This window comes from Homo sapiens, chromosome 10, assembly GCF_000001405.40.
Source record: "Homo sapiens chromosome 10, GRCh38.p14 Primary Assembly".
Taxonomy (NCBI): domain Eukaryota; kingdom Metazoa; phylum Chordata; class Mammalia; order Primates; family Hominidae; genus Homo; species Homo sapiens.
In genome coordinates this window covers 35,290,206-35,310,995 of record NC_000010.11, presented here as the reverse complement: position 1 = coordinate 35,310,995, position 20,790 = coordinate 35,290,206, and the positions used below count along the sequence as shown (strand labels likewise).

General features: G+C 42.2%; 1 protein-coding gene and 1 long non-coding RNA gene across 2 annotated transcripts in view, besides 3 other annotated features; one reads left to right on the top strand and one right to left on the bottom strand.

Moving 5' to 3' along the window:
- CCNY (cyclin Y) overlaps nucleotides 1–20,790 on the bottom strand; it is a 325,643-nt gene that overhangs the window by 261,672 nt on the left and 43,181 nt on the right. The gene's annotated exons all lie outside the window — the stretch shown is intronic.
- On the top strand, nucleotides 4,281–14,451 carry LOC107984220 (uncharacterized). Its single transcript, XR_007062113.1, has 3 exons — nucleotides 4,281–4,667; nucleotides 11,737–11,922; nucleotides 14,423–14,451. It is a non-coding gene; the product is annotated as an uncharacterized LOC107984220 (long non-coding RNA).
- Nucleotides 6,120–6,179: a silencer, noted in NCBI's record as "silent region_2304". NCBI's record gives its function as "represses an Ori minimal core promoter by ATAC-STARR-seq in GM12878 lymphoblastoid cells {active_cell/tissue: GM12878}" and the evidence as "EXISTENCE:reporter gene assay evidence [ECO:0000049][PMID:35858748]".
- Nucleotides 10,203–11,402: an enhancer, noted in NCBI's record as "P300/CBP strongly-dependent group 1 enhancer chr10:35588522-35589721 (GRCh37/hg19 assembly coordinates)". NCBI's record gives its function as "activates an origin of replication core promoter dependent on BRD2, BRD4, P300/CBP, MED14 and CDK7 cofactors, with strong dependence on P300/CBP, by STARR-seq in HCT116 cells {active_cell/tissue: HCT116}" and the evidence as "EXISTENCE:reporter gene assay evidence [ECO:0000049][PMID:35650434]".
- Nucleotides 10,431–10,480: a silencer, noted in NCBI's record as "silent region_2303". NCBI's record gives its function as "represses an Ori minimal core promoter by ATAC-STARR-seq in GM12878 lymphoblastoid cells {active_cell/tissue: GM12878}" and the evidence as "EXISTENCE:reporter gene assay evidence [ECO:0000049][PMID:35858748]".

Below are 20,790 nucleotides of genomic sequence, written 5' to 3'. Positions count from 1 at the left end.
TTTGTTTTGTTTTGTTTTGTTGAGACAGGGTTTCACCATGTTGCCCAGGCTGGTCTTGAACTCCTGGACTCACGCAATCCTCCCACCTTGGCCTCCCAAAGTACTAGGATTACAGGCGTGAGCCACGATTCCCGGCCAATCCTCTGTTTTTAATAGTGAACTCGCCCTGGTGAATAATATAACTTAAGATGTTAGCTAATCATAGTAGTGTGTATGTATAATTTAAAACTATACATATATTAAGACTGCTCAAAAAGTAATCACACTACAAAGGCTAAGCAATCAAAAAAGCTTGGAGAAGACACACAAATGACCAACAGTTGTATGAAAAATGCTCAGCATCACTCATCATCAGCAAAATGCAAAGCAAAACTACAGTGAGATATTGCACCCCAGTTACAATGGCTATTGTCAAAAAGACAAAAAATAACAAATCTTGGTGAGGATACAGGGAAAGGGGATATACACTGTTGGTGAGAATGTGAGTTAATACAGCCATGGAAACCATATGAAAGTTCCTCAAAAAACTACAAATCAAAACTACCTTTGATCTAGCAAGCCCACTGCTAGTATATATCCAAAAGAAAGACGCATATCAAAGAGGTACTGTACTTGTATGTTTATTGGAGCACAATTCACAACAGCCAAAATATCAACCCCAGTGCCTATCAGCAAATGAATGGATAAAGAAAATATGGTACATATACATGATGGACTATTATTCAGCCATAAAAGATGAAATCCTGTCATTTGCAGCAACATGAGTTGACCTGGAGGACATTATGTGAAATGAAATAAGCCAGGCACAGAAAGACAAATACCACATGATCTCTCTAATATGTAGGAAACTTGAAACAGTTGATCTCATGGAGTTAGAGAAAAGAATGGTGGTTCCCAGCTGGGTGCAGTGGCTCGTGCCTGTAATCCCAGCACTTTGGGAGGCTGAGGCGGGCGGATCAGAAGGTCAGGAGATCGAGACCATCCTGGCTAACATGGTGAAACCCTGCCTCTACTGAAAATACAAAAAATTAGCTGGGCATGGTGGCGGGCGTCTGCAGTCCCAGCTACTCGGAAGGCTGAGGCAGGAGAATGGCGTGAACCTGGGAGGTGGAGCTTGCAAGTGAGTGGAGATTGCACCACTGCACTCCAGCCTGGGCGACAGAGCGAGACTCTGTCTCTAAATAAATAAATAAATAAGTAAATAACACATGTACTCCAGAAATATGTATAACTATCATGTATCAATAAAAAATTAGTTTTTAACAAAGACTTGGAGGTTGGGCACAGTGGCTCATGCCTGCAATCTCATCACTTTGGGAGGCTGAGACAGGAGAATCACTTGAGCCGAGGAGTTCGAGACCAGCCTAAGCAACATAGTGAGACCTCATCTCTACAGAAAATTCAAAAATTAGCTGGGTATGGTGGTGTGTGCCTGCAGTCCCAGCTACTTGGGAGAGTGAGGCAGAAGTATCTTGAGCCCAGGAGTTCGAGGCTGCAGAGAGCTTTGATGGTGCCACTGCACTTCAGCCCGGGTGACACCCAGATTCTGTCTCTGAAAAAGAAAAACAAAAAACCCACTGCTCTTCCTCTCCACCTGTCATCCACAAGCCTCCCAGGTAGATTCTCCATCACCCAGAGGCAGGTGGGGAATTCCTCCACCCTCACAGTCCACTGAGTCCGAGTGTGCTTCCTCACAGGACCTGAGTGATTGCTGACCTATCTCATGTGGAGGGCCATTCTTCCTTGAGACACTGTTTCTGTTTTCCTGATTTTCCTGTAACCATCCAAACCACTCTTTTTCCCTTTGTGGCCACTTTTCCTTACTTTAGCCGTGAGCCACTGCCTTGCAGATGTAGCCTTTCCCTCTGCATGGCTGATTCTCAAATCTTTGTCTCCAGGCTTGGACTCCCCCATATACCCCAGTCTCTGTCTGTCCAAATGTTTACAAGATTCCCACACATTCCCCTAAGCTTAATGTGTGTAAAACAACACCTCCTTTCCCACCCACCTTCCCTGTTTTCCTGGCCTGGTTGAAGATCACTATTTTCAGGACTGCTGAGGCAAGGACTCTGAGATCACTCTCACCCTCCCTCTCTAATTGACCATCGTCATCCAAGCTGTCACAGACACCTGTCAATATTGCCTTCCAGGGGTCCCCTAGACTTCACTGTTTCCTTTTTGTTCTTTTTGCCCCGACTCTGAGCCCTCACCAGGTCACATCCGCATGGCTGCTACTTCCTTTTGTCTGGCTGCCTTCTCTCAAGCTGAAATGAGCTCTTATCTGCCGGTAGCCCATTAGTCTCACATTATATATGTCACTCAGGCTCCCCCACAGATGCCCTGTTCCCACTAGAATATTGGCTTCATTGGGTCCCTGCCCTCCACACCTCTTCCAGGCTCCCTCTCTGTCCAGACTGTCACACCTCACACATCCTCTTCCCTCCTCCCCATGGGCTCACTCTGTCACGCAGGCTGGAGTGCAGTGACAGGATCATAACTCACTGCAGCCTCAAACTCTCAGGCTCAAGTGATCCTCCCACCTCAGCCTCCCAAGTAGCCAGGACTACAGGTGCACATTACCATGCCCAGCTGTTTTTTACTTTTTAGTTGAGATGGAGTCTCACTGTGTTGCTCAAGCTGGTCTTGAACTCCTGGGCTCAGGCGATCCTCCCACTTTGGCCTCCCAAAGTGCTGGGATCACAGGCATGCATGAGCCACTGTGCCCAGCCTCCCACCTCCTCCTCTTTTGCGTGCTCTGCCATCAGGCAATCTGTGATCCTGCTCCATTCTAAGCTCTGCCATGTGTTAGTGCTTTGATCTTAGACAAACTAACAGCTCCAAAACCTCAATTTCTTTATCCATAAAATTATTACTACCTCGGCCGGGCACGGTGGCTTATGCCTGTAATCCCAGCACTTTGGGAGGCCGAGGCGGGTGGATCACTTGAGGTCAGGAGTACCAGACCAGCCTGCCCAACATCGTGAAACCCCGTGTCTACTAAAATACAAAAATTAGCTGGACGTGATGGTGGTCGCCTGTAATCCCAGCTAGTCAGGAGGCTGAGGCAGGAGAATCACTTGAACCCGGGAGGCGGAGGTTGCAGTGAGCCAAGATTGCGCCATTGCATTCCAGCCTGGGCAGCAGAGCAAGACTCCATCTCAGAAAAAAAAAAAAAAATATATATATATATATATACACACACACACACACACACACACACACACACACACACACATATATACACATCAATATGTATATATATACATATATGTGTGTGTGTATATATATACATATATACACGTGTAGATATACACGTATATATATATATACATATAACCTTATTTCGGGGTTGTTGAAAGGATGAAAATGGCATCATGCATGGAAGGTTATTTAGCCCAGTACCTAGCATAAAGATCTGAATTGTGCCTCGTTTTAGGATTAGCAAAACGTGATTGGCAAAATCAGAGTCATATGGCAAACACCCAGTTGGGTGAGTGAGTCACAGGAATAGGTGCTTAATGTTTGTTGGCTTAACAACTTGCAAGCTCTAACATAATCTCCGTCCTCTGCTAACATTATCTGATAGCTCAGATGCTGAAACATTTCATTCTTCTTTAAACTCCATGGCGTTTATGCGCGTGAGCCGCCACACCTGGGCTGACTCTTTTTTGTAATTCTTTCACAGATGTTCCATCTGTCTAACTAGTTTTCAAGTTCCTTGAGGACAAGGATAATGATATTATTACAGCTGACATTTCTTGAATGTGGACTATGAGCTAGCATTTTCAATTTATAAACTCGCTTAACCCGCACCACAGCCTGATGAGGGAGCTTGCTGTCGTCATCCCTGAGTTATGAATCAGGAAGCAGAGGCCCAGGTTGCCAGCGTGTTACCCGAGGGCACAAGGTTAGTGAGCAGCAGCACTGAAGCACTGCAGCCCAGCCCAGCAGCAAGGTATGTTGCCGTGTACTGCTTCCTAGGGTGCGGGACTGCACGCCCTCAGGTGAGTAGGAGAGAACTTACTGATTCCCTGACTGATAGAAACCCTTATCTTTGCAGCTACACGTGCTTTTCTAGCAGATGCCTGGGCTCCTGGACATATTGCTCTGAGGCTATTTGACAGCACTCCTGCCATCCTCCTGGCCCCCTAAGATAAAACTTTCTTTAAAGAGCGTCCTAAAAACCAGATTTACACACAAAAGCCAGGATGACTCCTAGCAGATGTTTTGCTACCTGAAGGTTGTTATGTCATGTAGAAAATGAAGGAGGAAAGAAAGAAAAGGAGAAGGAGGGGAGAGGGCATGTGGGAGAAGGGGAGAGGGCATGTGGGAGAAGGGGTGAGGACAGTGAACAGACCGGGGAGTACCAGAAAGACCAGCTCTTCCCAAACAGCTTCTGCCATGATGCTTGCTTCATGCTAAATGACCCACAAACTTCATTCATGTGTGGGTTTGCCCTTGTGCCTTCTTGGTCCCCCAAGCAGGGACAGAGTTCTGTTCGGAGAAGCTGGAATGGACCGAAAGCCAGGGAAGGAGCTGGTGGAAACCCAGGCAGGCCTCCCTCAAGTGGCATGATCTCAGGAAATGGAAATATTGTACAAAGAAGCAAGATGCCTGGCGCCAACTTCCATGCTGTGCTGAATGACAAATCCAAGATGGTTGGCCAGGTATGGTGGCTCACGCCTGTAATCCCAGCACTTTGGGAGGCTGAGGCAGGTGGATCACTTGAGGTCAGGAGTTCAAGACCAACCTGGCCAACATGGTGAAACCCTGTCTCTACTAAAAATCCAAAAATTAACCAGGTGTAGTGGCGTGTGCCTGTAATCCCAGCTACTCAGGAGGCTGAGGCAGGAGAATCACTTAAACCTGAGAGGCAGAGGCTGCAGTGAGCCGAGATTGCACCACTGCACTCCAGGCTGGGCAACAGAGTGAGACTCTGTCTCTCATAAAGAAAAAAAATGGCATATGAAACATGAATTTTAAGTAAAAAATTACACAGGATGTGTTACTGTACTGGAAACTAACTTTGGAAAATAGGAGTAGATTTCCTGCACCTTATATCAACTCCTTCTGTGATAGAAATGAAACCCACTCTAATGATCCCAAGCATATCTGTGAAGTCTTACAAGGGGTCAGACTGGCAGCACCATCCACAGGGACATTACCTCTAAGGATCATATATCAAGAGCCAGATCCCAATCAGGAAATTTCTTCCACCATTGTCAGTACAAAGGGCACTCAGCAAGCATCTTTTCCAAATGGACATCTACCCAGAAGTATCCACATAACCCAATCATCAATACTCAGAAACAAGAAGATATTAGAACTGTTCTTTCTTGCAGGGGTAAAAATAAGGAGGATTAGGAAGATGAAGCCATGGCAATGAACGATAAGTAGCACAAACCTTACCTAATCTCTGTCTCATTTAACTGGGTAAACAGCAGCTCTGACACAATTATATGCCCCCAGATGCTGCTGTGACATTACTAGGTTACAGTGAACACAGTATCAGCTGATGCCATTGGAATAAACATGCAGATTTCCAAAACCAAAGTGTTTGCATGTAATATATATTTCATGTTCTTGTCACCTCAAGCCTGTCTTGAAGCTGATTTCATGCAGCATCCTCTAGACTTGAAGGAACATCACTCCACATTTCAAAGAGTAACAGCATGTATTTTTACAATTTACTCCTTAGCAGGGGGGAATTAGAGCATTAACTGTAGGAAATTTTTCTCTTGTACAATAAACCGAAAGCTTTGTAACCATAAAATGACAATTTTCATTAAAAAGCACGCTTACTTTTGGTATTGCCAGTTACGTAAAGGATAAATGTCTTCGGGCAAAAGGACACGTGGCCATAACCTTTTCCTGACAAGTCTGTCTCCGGTTTTCTCCAAGCAATGTCAGATTTTATATTTTTCCAAAAGAAACAAACGGGAATGCCTCATGAATTGTTCCTGTGGATTTTTAGTTCAATACTACATGACACTTGTATATTAGGCTCCTAAATACTGTGCAACACGGCAACAGTGATGAGAATCACTACTCTTAGACCACACTTGAATTAGTGTCTCTTCCATCCACCCACGTTTTTTGGCTCTTCTTCCTCTGATCTCCCCTGCCTTGAGGCTCAGCACTCCCCCTAACACCCTAGTGGTTCTCAACCTGGGCAATTATGCCCCCAGGAGACATTTTTGGTTGTTGCAACTAGGGGATGCCACTGGCATGTAGTGGGTAGAGGCTAGGGATTCTGCTAAACATCCTACAAGGCACAGGACAGCCCCCCAAAACAAAAATGATCTAGCTCCACATGCCAATAGTACTGTGGCTGAGAAAACCTGCAATATGCTAACCAAACCACTTTTAATTAAAAGGAGAAAAAAGGCCGGGAGCGGTGGCTCACGCCTGTAATCCCAGCACTTTGGGAGGCCGAGGCGGGCGGATCACGAGGTCAAGAGATCGAGACCATCCCGGCTAAAACGGTGAAACCCCGTCTCTACTAAAAATACAAAAAAATTAGCCGGGCGTAGTGGCGGGCGCCTGTAGTCCCAGCTACTTGGGAGGCTGAGGCAGGAGAATGGCGTGAACCCGGGAGGCGGAGCTTGCAGTGAGCCGAGATCCCGCCACTGCACTCCAGCCTGGGCGACAGAGCGAGACTCCGTCTCAAAAAAAAATAAAAAATAAAAAAAAAAAAAAAATAAAAGGAGAAAAAAGCCTTTTCAAGATCTTACAACGGCTCTTATTAGATTATAAATTGTAACCTCCTCAGCCTTACTTTCAACACCTTTCCCAATCCATTTCTAACCTACCTGTCACCTGAACTGAGCAAACCTATGCTGAGCTCCCCCATGTGCAGGAGGTGCAAAGCTACTGAAAGACGAAGAGGGGTTGGTGCTTTCCAGAAGCCCATTCACGGGTGCAGGAGACGGAGAAACTGGAGCATGTGGCTAGCACCCAGCAGGTATCAGGAATGGTCTTTCCTTTCTTCCTAATTAGCTCTAATTCCAGGCTGACTGTGATGGGTGGATAAAGAGTGGTGGATCTTAGTGTTTTCCCCACATCGTAATCTGTGCTCTTGTTTGTCTTTTAATCTATTAGGAAAATTTGAAAGACTAGGTTTTTTTCTATTTGACATAGATCTACCTTTCTTTCTTTCCTTCCTTCCTTCTTTCCTTCCTTCCTTCCTTCCCTCTTTTTTTTTTTTTTTTTTTTTTTGAGACGGAGTTTCGCTGTTGTCGCCCAGGCTGGAGTGCAATGGTACGATCTCGGCTCACCGCAACCTCCGCCTCCCAGGTCCAAGGGATTCTCCTGCCTCAGCCTCCTGAGTAGCTGGGATTACAGGCATGCACCACTACATCCAGCTAATTTTGTATTTTTAGTAGAGATGGGGTTTCTCCATGTTGGTCAGGCTGGTCTCGAACTCCCGACCTCAGGTGATCTGCCCACCTCGGCCTCCCAAAGTGCTGGGATTACAGGCACGAGCCACCATGCCTGGGCTTCTTTCCTCTTTCTTTTTAAGAAACATGGTCTTTCGCCTGTAATCCTAGCACTCTGGGAGGCTGAGGCGGGAGGATCACCTGAGGTCGAGAGTTCAAGACCAACCTGATCAACATGGAGAAACCCCGTCTCTACTGAAAATACAAAATTAGCCAGGCGTCATGGTGCATGCCTGTAATCCCAGCTACTCGGGAGGCTGAGGCAGGAGAATTGCTTGAACCCAGGAGGTGGAGGTTGCGGTGAGCCGAGGTCATGCCATTGCACTCCAGCCTGGGCAACAAGAGTGAAACTCAGTCTCAAAAAAAAAGAAACAGGATCTTACTCTGTCACCCATGCTGGAGTGCAGTGGTGCAGTCATGGCTCACTGCAGCCTGGAATCCCTGGGCTCAAGTGATCTTCCTGCCTCAGCCTCCCAAATAGCTGAGACTACACATCCCAGGTAATTATTTTTATTTTTATTTTTGTAGAGACAGGGTCTCACTATGTTTCCCAAGCTGGTCTGGAATTCCTGACCTCAAGCAATCTTCCTGCCTCGGCTTCTCAAAGTGCTGGGATTACAGGCATGAGCCACCGTGCCCAGCCTCCTTACCTTTATAATTTCTAATAAATATTGTTTTGGTTATACTGAATAAGCATGCCATACTAACAAGAAGCTTTTAGGCTAGCATGTCTCAAAATGTTTTAGCAATTTTCTACTCAGCCTTATGTGTTCATGATCTCTCTGCTCTTGCTACTAATTGAGAAATTAATATTGTTCTCAGTGGCTATGATGTAGATTGAATTGTTCAGCCACAGATTTTTCATCCTGAGATGCCCTTGGGTGCCTGCTAGTTGTTTTTCTTAGGTTGGCTGTTTTGTTCTTCATCTTAAAATATTAACATGTCGGGGCGGGCGCAGTGGCTCATGCCTATAATCCCAGCACTTTGGGAGGCTGAGGCAAGTGGATCGCCTGAGGTCAGGAGTTCGAGACCAGCCTGGCCAACATGGAGAAACCCCGTCTCTACCAAAAATACAAAAATTAGCCAGGCATGGTGGTGCATGCCTGCAGTGCCAGCTCCTCAGGAGGCTGAGACAGGAGAATCACTTGAACCCAGGAGACGGAGGTTGCAGTGAGCCGAGATCGCGCCACTGCACTCCAGCCTGGGTGACAGAGCAAGACTCTGTCTCAAAAAAAAAAAAAAAAAATTAAGATGTCAAAGTATTAACCTGCTGTTTTGATAGAAAAATAGCAATGAGGATGGGCGTGGTGGCTTACACCTGTAATCCCAGCACTCTGGGAGGCCGAGGCAGGTGGGTCATGAGGTCAGGAGATCGAGACCATCCTGGCCAACATGGCAAAACCCCATCTCTACTAAAAACACAAAAATTAGCCAGGCGTGGTGGCGTGTGCCTGTAGTCCCAGCTACTCAAGAGGCTGAGGCAGAGAATCGCTTGAACCTGGGAGGCGGAGGTTGCAGTGAGCCGAGATCACGCCATTGCACTCCAGCCTGGACGATAAGAGCAAAACTCCGCCTCAAAAAATAAATAAATAAATAAATAAATAAAATAAAAAATAACAATGAAGGCTGGGCGGGGTGACTCACACCTGTAATCCTAGCATTTTGGGAGGCCGAGGCGGGCAGATCGCTTGAGCCCAGGAGTTTGAAACCAGCCTGGGCAACATATTGAGACTATGTCTACAAAAAATACAAAAATTAGCTAGGCATGGTGGCATGCACCTGTAGACCTGTCCCAGCTACTCAGGAGGCTGAGGCAGGAGGATCACTTGCGCCCAGGGAGATCAAGTCTTCTGTGAGCCGTGATCATGCCACTGCTCTCCAGGCCTGGGTGACAGTGAGACCCTGTCTCAAAACAAAGCAAAACAAAAGACAGCGATGAAAACAGGCTTCCAATAAAAAAAATAAGAAAAGACTGCTAATTTGTCAGGCTCAAATATCCCATGTGTTCAGGGAGTAAGAGAAATACCGTGCATAAAAGCTCTATACAGCCAAGAACATCTGCAAATTGATTATCACAGTTTGCCATGGACTACATGGAAGTGAAGTGACTTCATTTTACCTTCACTCTCCTAGGTAGGATATAAACAATTCTATTATGAAACATTTCCAGGAAAGTCTTCACACTGTCTCTCAGACAACTCTTTCTAGTGTTAATGGAAATAGATAACACATTTCAACCCATATTCAAAACTGGACCTTCCATCATGTCTACACACATTGGCCATATATTTGTTAAACAAGGAATATTATGCTTGTATTTAGGCAAAAATAGCTCCGAAAGCTAATATATGTTGTAGTTAAGATCTCAGCCCTGGTGCCAGATTATCTGAGTTTGAATCCTTGTGTGATCTCTCTAAAGCATCTTTTCTCCTATTTAAATGGGTATAATAGTCGGGCACAGTGGCTCACCCCTATAATCCCAGCACTTTAGGAGGCCGAAGCGGGCGGATCACTTGAGGTCAGGAGTTTGAGACCAACCTGGCCAACATGGTGAAACCTCGTCTCTACTAAAAATATAAAACAAATTAGCCAGGCATGGTGGTGGCCGCCTGTAATCCCAGCTACTTGGGAGGCTGAGGCAGGAGAATCACTTGAACCTGGGAGGCAGAGGTTGCAGTGAGTTGAGATTGCACCACTGCACTCCAGCCTGGGTGACAAGAGCAAAACTCCATCTCAAAAATAATAATAATAATAATGGAATGAATATTAGAATACTAGCTTGAATAAATAATAGAGCTTACATTAGAAGTCTTAACAAACAGCATATTTACTTTGAAAATGCTCTAAGCAGTATGTCTGCAAGCACATGTAACCCACTGAGTAAAGCAGTTGTTAAGCAGAAAATAAACATAGATTTTTAATGAACCATGTGGCAATGATACATAAAAAATAAATTGTATAAGCGAATGCAAAAATAAAGATCTAAGAAAAACAAATATGAGACAAGACTACTGCTTCTGGCCATGAAGCAGTAACTGGTACTGGACTTGCCCTACTGCAATAAACAGCAGGACGCTAGAGAAGATATATGAAACAATTGTTTCAGACTCTGAACAACAGACAAAGCAGAACTGTAACCCCCGAGAGAAGTGAAACAAGGCAAGACCCACGATCACCCCAGCTTTCTTTCTGAAGCTGCTTTGCAGATTGTGATACAGGAGGGGAACTCAGGCAGGGCGTGGCATCTCAGGCAGGGCGTGGCAGCCTTGCTGCTTTGATGAGACAGAGCAGAAGTAGGGATGAGGGAGGGCAGCTGGAATTTCCAGGGCGGGGTACCACAGATGAGTAAGCTAGACAGAGCAAGAGCTCGAAATCCACATGGGAGCCCTCTTACATCTTTGGCTCACGCACAACGTAAAACTCTGCGAGGCCAAGCAAAGAGCATCTACTAGGAAACTGTAAGAGGAGCAGTCCCCAGAGATCTGAGAGATGTTCAGGTTCTGAAAAGACAAAGCCTAAAGACCTCGAAAGGATACTGTTCTGAAAACTTACGTGATTGTAGGAGTGGCATCATATTATTTGAAGGTACACTGATAAACTGAAGATGTATTCTGTAAACCTACAGCAACAATTGTTTTTAAAAAAGGAGTGTTATTCACCAATGGAGAATATAAAATGAAATACTGAAAAATACTCAACTAATCCAAAAAGGCAGGAAAAGAAGAAAAAAATAAAAACATATGGTATAAATAGAAAACAAACAGCAAGACAGTAGATTTAAACCTAACCGTATCAGTAATTATACTAAATGTATATGAATTAAGCATTCCAATTATAAATCAAAGATTATCCAATTGGGTAATAAAGTAAGGTCTGACTCTCTGGTGTCTACAAGAAATCCACTTTATACAGACACAAGAATGTTAAAAGTAAAAGGATGAAAAAAGGTAAACATGAGACATAAGAAAGGTGGATTGACTGTATCCATTTCTGGCAAAACACACTTTAGGACAAGAAATATTACCAGACATAAGGAGGGACATTTCACAATGATAAACTATCAAGTCACTAAGAAAAAATAACATTCCTAAATGTGAATGCACCCAGTTGTAGAACTTCAAAAGACTTGAAGCGAAAACTGACAGAATTTGAAAGGGGAAAAAGACAAATCCATAATTTAAGTTGCATATTTCACCACCTTCTCTTGTATTGATAGAAATAGCAGACAGAAAACTGGTATGAATACAGAAGACTTGAACAGCACTATCAACTAACTGGATCCAATTAACTTTTACAGAACGCTCCACCCTGCAATGGCAGACTAAACAGTGTTTTCAGTGCAGATGGAACGTTCATCATATGCTGGGCCATGAAACTAGTCTCAATAAATCCAGCAGGATTGAAATCACATACCGGGCTTCTCCAACAAAATGCAATTTAATTAGAAATCAGTAACTGAAACTGGAACTCTTCTACACTGCTGGTAAGAATGTGAAATGTTACAATCACTTTGAAAACAGTTGTCAGTTTTTTTAAATAATGAAGTCAAACATATAAACAATTGCACTTCTTGGTATTTACCTAAGAAGAATGAAAACATATGCTCATACAAAACATACACATAAATGATTTTAATCATCTTTATAATTTTCAAAAACTGGAAACAACCAACCAAATATTCATCAATAGATAACTTGATAAACTAACTACAGTTACAAAAAAACAACAACAACAAGGCCAGGTGCAATGGCTCATGCCTGTAATCTCAGCACTTTGAGAGACTGAAGTGCAGCACCACATGAAGCCAGGAGTTTGAGACCAACCTGAGCAACATAGTGAAACCCTGTCTCCGCAAAAAATTAAATAAAAAAAATTAGCCAGACGTGGTGGCCCTCACTTGTAGTCCTAGCTACTCAGGCGGCTGAGGCAAGGAAGAGTGCCTGAGCCCAGGAGTTTGAAGCTGCAGTGAGCCATGATTGTGCCACTGTACTCCAGCCTGAGAAACAGAGCAAGACCCTGTCTCTGTTTTTTAAAAAAGAAAAGAATGGAATAATACTCAACAATACAAATGAGCAAAGTACTAACACATACAACATTGATAAATCCCTGAAACATGCTGAAAGGCCAGACATAAAGAGTATATTGTTATGATTACATTTATAGAAAATTCTAGAAAATGTAAAACTAATCAATAGTGACACAAAGCAAATCAGTCATTCCCTGGTGCCAAGAGTTGGGTTGGGATTGTTGCAAGGAGATATGAAGGAACTTTGGGGGATGATGGAAATGTTCTATATCTTGAATATGGTGAGATTATATTTGTGAAAACTCATTGAAAGGTGCACCTAAAATGGGTGTGCTTATTTTACGTTAATTACACTTCAACAAATTTCTGTTCCATTGGTCTATGTGTCTGCTTTTGTACCAGTACCATGCTGTTTTGGTTACTGTAGCCCTGTAGTATAGTTTGAAGTTGAGTAATATGATGCCTCCAGCTTTGTTCTTTTTGCTTAGAATTCCCTTGGCTATTCAGGCTCTTTTTTTTTTTTTCATAAGAACTTCTAAATAGTTTTTTCTAGCTCCATGAAGAATGTCATTGGTAGTTTGATAGGAGTGATGTTAAATATGTAAGTTGCTTTGGGCAGTATGGCCGTTATAATGATATTGATTCTTCCTATCCACAAACATGGAATGTTTTTTCCATTTGTTTGAGTCATCTCTGATTTCCTTGAGCAGTGTTTTGTAATTCTTCTTGTAGAGATCTTTCACCTCGCTGGTTAGCTGTATTCTTAGGTATTTTTTTCTTTTTGTGGCAATTGTGAATGGGATTGCATTCCTGATTTGGCTCTCAGCTTGGATGTTGTTGGTGTTTAGGAATGCTATTGATTTTTGTACGTTAATTTTGTATCCTGAAACTTTGCTGAAGTTACCAGATCAAGGAGTTTTAGGGCAGAGACTATGGGGTTTTCTAGATATAGAATCATATCATCTGTAAACAGGGATAGTTTGACTTCCTCTCTTCCTATTTGGATGCCTTTTATTTCTTCCTCCTGCCTCATTGCTCTGGCCAGGACTTCCAGTACTATATTGAATAGGAGTGGTTCCTTGTCTTGTGGCAGTTTTCAAGGGGAATGCTTCCAGCTTTTACCCAGTCAGTATGATGTTGGCTGTGGGTTTGTCATAGATAGCTCTTATTATTTTGACGTATATTCCTTCAATGCCTTGTTTATTGAGAGTTTTTAACATGAAGCGATGTTGAATTTTATCAAAAGCCTTTCTGCATCTATTGAGATCATTATGCTTTTTGTTTTTAGTTCTGTTTATGTGACGAATCACATTTATTGATTTCCGTGTGTTGAACCAATCTTTTTTTTTTAATTTGTATATATTTTTTCTTTTTTTATTTGTGTATTGAACTAGCCTTGCATCCCAGGGGTAAAGTCTACTCAATCACGGTGGATTCGCTTTTTGATGTGCTACTGGATTCAGTTTGCCAGTGTTTTGTTAAGGATTTTTGCATCCATGTTCATCAAGGATATTGACCTGAAGATTTTTTTGTTGTTGTGTTTTGCCAGGTTTTGGTATCAGGATGACACTGGCCTCATAAAATGAGTTGGAGAGGAGACCCTCCCCTCAATTTTTGGAATAGTTTCAGTAGGAATGCTACCAGCTCTTCTTTATACATCTGGTAGAATTCAGCTGTGAATCCATCTGGTCCTGGGCTTTTCTTGGTTGGTAGGCTTTTTATTACTGCTTCAATTTCAGAACTCATTATTAGTCTGTTCAGGGATGCAATTTCTTCCTAGTTCAATCTTGGGAGGTGGTATGTGTCCAGGAATTTATCCATTTCTTCTAGATTTTCTAGTTTGTGTGCATAGGGTTTTTGTATTTCTGTGCAGATGGTGGTAATTTCATCTTTCTCATTTCTAATTGTGTATATTTGGTTCTTCTCTCTTTTTTCTTTTTTCTTTTTTTTCTGACAGAGTCTCACCCTGAGGCCCAGGCCGGAGTGCTGTGACGTGATCTTGGCTCACTGCAACCTCTGCCTCCCGGATTCAAGCAATTCTCCTGTCTCAACCTCCCAAGTAACTGGGATTACAGGTATGCGCCACCACACACAACTAATTTTTGTATTTTTTAGTCGACATGGGGTTTCTCCATTTTGGCCTGGCTGGTCTCAAACTCCTGGCTGCAAGTGATCCACCTGCCTCGGCCTCCCAAAGTCCTGAAATTACAGGCGTGAGCCACCCCTCCCAAACTCTTTTTTCTTTATTAGTCTAGCTAGTGGTCTATCTTACTAACTTTTCCAAAGAAACAATTCCTGGGTTCATTGACCTTTTGTATAGTTTTTTGCTTCTCAATTTCCTTCAATTCAGCTCTGATTTGGGTTATTTCTGGTCTTCTGCTAGATTTGGGTTTGGTTTGCTGTTGCTTGTCTAGTTCCTCTAGTTGTGATATTAGGTTCTTAATTTGAGATCTAACTTTTTGATGTGGACGTTTAGTGCTATTAATATAAACTTCCCTCAACACTGCCTTAGCTATGTCCCTGGAGAGTCTGATATGCTGTATCTTTGTTCTCATTAGTTTCAAATATTTCTTGATTTCTGCCTCAATTTCATTATTTACCCAAAAGTCATTCAGGAGCAGAACAACCCAAATATCTATCAACAGAGGAATGGATAAACAAAATGTAGTTTGTATATACAGTGGAATATTATTCAGCCTTAAAAAGAAATGAAGTTTTGACACGTGATATGATATGGATGAACTTTGAAAAGATTAAGCTAAGTGAAATAAGCCAGACACAAAAGGACAAATATTGTATGAGTACAATATTTGTACTTTGAAAAGATTAAGAGAACTTTGAAAAGATTAAGCTAAGAGAAATAAGCCAGACACAAAATGACAAGTATTTTATGAATATTCATAAAGACATAAAGTAGAATAGAGGTTATCAGGGGCTGGGGTAGGGTAAAATGGTGATTTGTTGATTAATGGGTATAGAGTTTCTGTTTGTAATGATGAGGCTGGGGGCGGTGGCTCAAGCCTGTAATCCCAGCACTTTGGGAGGCAGAAACGGGCGGATCACCTGAGGTTCGGAGTTCAAGACCAGCCTGACCAACATGGAGAAACCCTGTCTCTGCTAAAAAATACAAAATTAGCCAGGCGTGGTGGCACATGCCTGTAATCCCAGCTACTCGGGAGGCTGAGGCAGGAGAATCGCTTGAACCCGGGAGGCAGAGGTTGTGGTGAGCCAAGATCACACCATTGCACTCCAGCCTGGGCAACAAGAGCAAAACTCCATCTCAAAAAGAAAAAAAAAAAAGTATTATAGGGGATAACTTATTTATCAATATCTGTATGCCAACAAATTAGATAACTTTTATTTATTTATTTATTTTTGGAGACAGGGTCTCACTGTTGCCCAGGCTGGAGTGCAGTGGTGCAATCTCAGCTCACTGCAGCCTCTGCCTTCAAGGCTCAAGCAATCCATCTGCCTCAGCCTCCCAAGTAGCTGGGACTACAGGTCCCAGCTGGCTAAAAGTTAAATAGCTTAGATGAGATAGACAGATGGCTAAAAAGCCACAACTACTGCAACTGGCTCAAGAAGAAAGGGACAATTTAAATAAATCTATAACAAAGAGATTAAATTAATCATCAGAAAACTACCACGATGAAAATTCTAGGCCCAGGTAACTTCACTTGTGAATTCTACCAAACACTTAAATAGTAATTAATACCAATTCTTCACCAACTCTTCCAAAAATAAAAGGGTATAAAATGCTTCCCAAATCATTCTATTATGCCAGTATTTCCCTCATACTAAACCCCAACAAGAATAGCACTAGAAAACATCTGTGGAGTATAGATGTAAACATCCTGAACAAAATACTAGAAAAGTGAAACCAGCCACATATAAAAAGATTTATGCCTCATGGCCAAGTGGGATTTATCCCAGAAATGCAAAGGTGGTTTAACATCTGAAGATCAATTAATGTAATACATGATACCAATAGAATAAAGGACAAAAAAACACAAGATTATCTCAATAGCTGTAGAAAAAAAGCATTTGATGAAATGTAACAATCTTTCATAATAAAAACATTCAACAAACTAGGAACAGAAAGGAACTTTCTCAACCTGATAAATGACATTTATGAAAAACCTACAGTTAACATTACACTTAATGGTAAAAGACTGAATATTTTCACTCTCAGATCAGGAATAAGACAAAGATATCTGCTCTCATCACTTCTATTCAATATTATACTAGAGGTTCTAACCAGGATAATTATAAGAAATAAAAACATCCAGATTGGAAAGGAAGAAATAAAATTATTTCTATTAGCAAATGCAATGATCTTGTATCTAGAATATCCTAAGGAGCTTAATTTAAAAAGCCTTAAAACTAAGCTATGAGTTCTGTAAAGTTTCAGGATAAAAGATCAACATACAAATATCAATTGTGCCAGACGCAGTGGCTCACGCCTGTAATCCAAACACTTTGGCAGGCTGGGATGGGCAGATCATTTGAGGTCAGGAGTTCGAGACCAGCCTGACCAACATGGTGAAAGCCTGTCTCTACTAAAATACAAAAAGTAGCCGAGTGTGGTGGCAGGTGACTGTAATCTCAGCTACTCGGGAGGCTGAGGCAGAAGAATCACTTGAACCCAGGAGGCAGAGGTTGCAGTGAGCTGAGATCATGCCACTGCACTCCAGCCTGGGTGACAGAGTGAGACTCTGTGTCTCAAAAAAAAAAAAAAAAAATCAATTGTATGTCTGTACATTTTTAGTGATCAATCTGAAAATGAAACTTAGAAGACAATTCCATTTATAATAGCTCAAGAAAAAGTGATACTAAGGAATAAATTTAACAAAGTGCAAAACTTGTATTTTGAAAACTATAAAACATTTTTGAAAAAAATTAAAGATGATCTAAGTAAATGGGATAACATCCCATGTCCACAGACTGGAAGGTTTAATATTGTTTAGATGGCAGTACCCCCAAGTTGACCTACAGATTCAGTGCATTCATTACCAAAATTCCAGCTAACTTCTTTGCAGAAACTGGCAACCTGATCCTAAAATTCATCTAGAAATTCAAGGGATCTAGAATTAGCTAAAATGATCTGGAAAAACAAGAACAAAATTGACAGACTCACTCCTCCCAATTTCAAAACTATCTAGAAAGCTAAGTAATCAAGACAGTATGGTTTTGGCATAATGAACCTTACTGTCCTGAGAGTTCAGAAATAAACTTTCACATTTATGATGACTTGATTTTTGACAAGGGTGTCAAGACAACTCAATGGGGGAAAGAATAGTTTTCTCAACAAATGGTGCTGGGACAACTGATATTCATATGCACAAAAATGAAGTTGGATTTTCTACTTCACTCCATATACAAAAATTAAACCCAAATAGATTAAGGACTTACGGGTAAGAGCTAAAACTATAAAACTCTTAGAGGATAACAGGCCGGGCACGGTGGCTCACACCTGTAATCTCAGCACTTTGGGAGGCCAAGGCGGGTGGATCACCTGAGGTCAGGAGTTTGAGACCAGCCTGGCCAACATGGTGAAACCCTGTCTTTAATAAAAATACAAAAATTAGCTAGGCGTGGTAACAGGTGTCTGTAATCCCAGCTACTCAGGAGGCTGAGGCAGGAGAATTGCTTGAACCCAGGAGACTGCAGTTAGCCAAGATCGCTCCATCGCACTCCAGCCTGGCAGACAAGAACAAGACTTCGTCTCCAAAAAAAAAAAAAAAAAAAACAAAAACAAAGCACTCTTACAGGATAACATTAGGCACTGGTTTCTTAGATACGATGCTGAAAGCAGAGGCAATGAAAGAAAAAAAAGATAAACTGGACGCCATAAAAATTCAAAACTATTGGCAGGGCACGGTGGCTCAGGCTTTGTAATCCCAACACTTTGGGAGGCTGAGGAGGGTGGATCACCTGAGGTCAGGAGTTTGAGACCAGCCTGACCAACATGGCGAAACCCTGTCTCTACTAATAATACAAAAGTTAGCCAGGCACGGTAGTGCACGCCTGTAATCCCAGCTACTCGGGAGGCTGAGGCAGAATTGCTTGAACCCAGGAGGTGCAGGTTGCAGTGAGCCGAGATCGTGCCACTGCACTCCAGCCTGGGCGACAAGAGTGAAACTCTGTCTTCAAAACATAAAAATAAAAAAATTAAAAATTAAAAACTATTGTTCTTCAAAAGATACCATCAAGAAAATTAAAAAACAACCCACAAAATAGGGAGAAAAATCCCAAATCATTTCTTGGGTAAGGGGCTTGTATATAGAATATATAAAGAACTCTTATAACTCAATAATGAAAAGACAAACCATCCAAGTAAAAATGGGCAAAAATTTTGAATTTCTCCAAAAAAGATGTATAAATGGCCAATAAACCATGAAAAGATGCAACACCGTTAGCTGTCAAGGAGATGCAAACCAAATCCACAATGAGGTGGCACTTCACGCCCACTAGGATTGCTGCAATCCAAAAGATAAGGTGGCAAATATATGAAGAAACTGGAACCCCACTACGCTACTGGTGGGAATGTAACATGTTGCAATCTCTTTGGAAAGCAGTTTGGTAATTTCTCAAAAGGTTAAACATAGGGTTATCATATGTATGGCCCAGCAATTCTATTCCTAGATATATGCCCAAGAGAAATAAAATCTTAGTCCACACAAAAAGTCATACACAAGCTGGGCACGGTGGCTCATGCCTGTAATCCCAGCACTTTGGGAGGCCGAGGCCAGTGGATCATGAGGTCAGGAGTTCAAGACCAGCCTGGCCAACATGATGAAACCCCATGTCTACTAAAAATACAAAAATTAGCTGGGCATGGTGGTGCGTGCCTGTAATGCCAGCTACTCGGGAGGCTGAGGCAGGAGAACAGCTTGAACCAGGACCCGGGAGGTAGAGGTAGCAGTGAGCGAGATCGTGCCACTGCACTCCAGCCTGAGTTACAGAGTGAGACTCTGTCTCAAAAAAAAAAAAAAAAAAAAAGGAAGTCGTACACAAATGCTGTAGCAGCATTACTCATAAAAGCAAAAATGTGGACACAGCACAAACAACTGACAGAGGATTAAGTGAATAAAATGTGTTCTGTTGATACAATGGAATATTGTTTGGCAATAAAAAGAAATAATGTACTAATAATGCTATAACATGGATGTACCTTGAAAACATCATGCTAAGTGAAAGAAGCTAGCTTTAAAAGACCTCATATTAGGCCGGGAATGACTCACACCTGTAATCCCAGCACTATGAGGGGCCAAGGCAGGTAGATCACCTAAGGTCAGGAGTTTGAGACCAACCTGGCCAACATGGTGAAACCCCATCTCTACTAAAAATACAAAAAATTAGCTGGGCGTGGTGGCGGGTGCTTGTCATCCCAGCTACTCAGGAGGCTGAGGTGGGAGAATCGCTTGAACCCAGGAGACAGAGGTTGCAGTGAGCCGAGATTGCACCATTGCACTCCAGCCTGGGCGATATAAGCAAAATTCCATCTAAAAAAAAAAAAAGTCATATTTCATGATTCCATTTAAAGGAAATGTGTGGAATTATCAAATCTCTAGAGATAGAAAGTAGATTATTGTGTGCCCAGGGCTGGAAAGGTTAGGGGTAAATGGGAGTGACTGTTAATGAGTAGGGAGTTTTCTTTTCAAGTGTTGGATTTATTTTTTGCTTGTGTTTTTGTTTTATGTTTTGTTTTTTTCGTTGTTGTTATTTTTTCGTATAGACAGGGTCTCACTATGTTGCCCATGCTGGTTTCGAACTCCTGACCTCAAGCAATCCTCCCACCTTGGCCTTGGAAAGTACTGGGATTACAGATGTGAGCCACTGCACCTGGCAAAAGTGTGGTAATGTAAAATTGTATGTGATGATGGTGGGACAACTCTGAAAACATACTAAAAACCATTGAATTGTATACTTCAAATGAGTGAATTGTATAGTATGTGAATTTTATCTCAATTGTCTTTTTCAAAAAATTATAAAAAACAATAAAAAATAAATCAACGAAATTTAGCACATTAACAGGTAAAATAGAAAAACATAATTCTCTCAATAGATGCACAAAAACAAAATTTAACACCCTTTTATGATTTTTTTTTTTTTAAGACAGAGTCTCACTCTGTTGCCCAGGCTAGAGTGCAGTGGCACAATCTCAGCTCACTGCAACCTCTGCCTCCTGGGCTCAAGTGAGTCCATGCCTCAACCTCCCAAGTAGCTGGGATTACAGGCGCATACCGCGATGCCCAGCTAATTTTGTGTGTGTGTGTGTGTGTGTGTGTGTGTGTGTGTGTGTGTGATGGAGTCTTGCTGTGT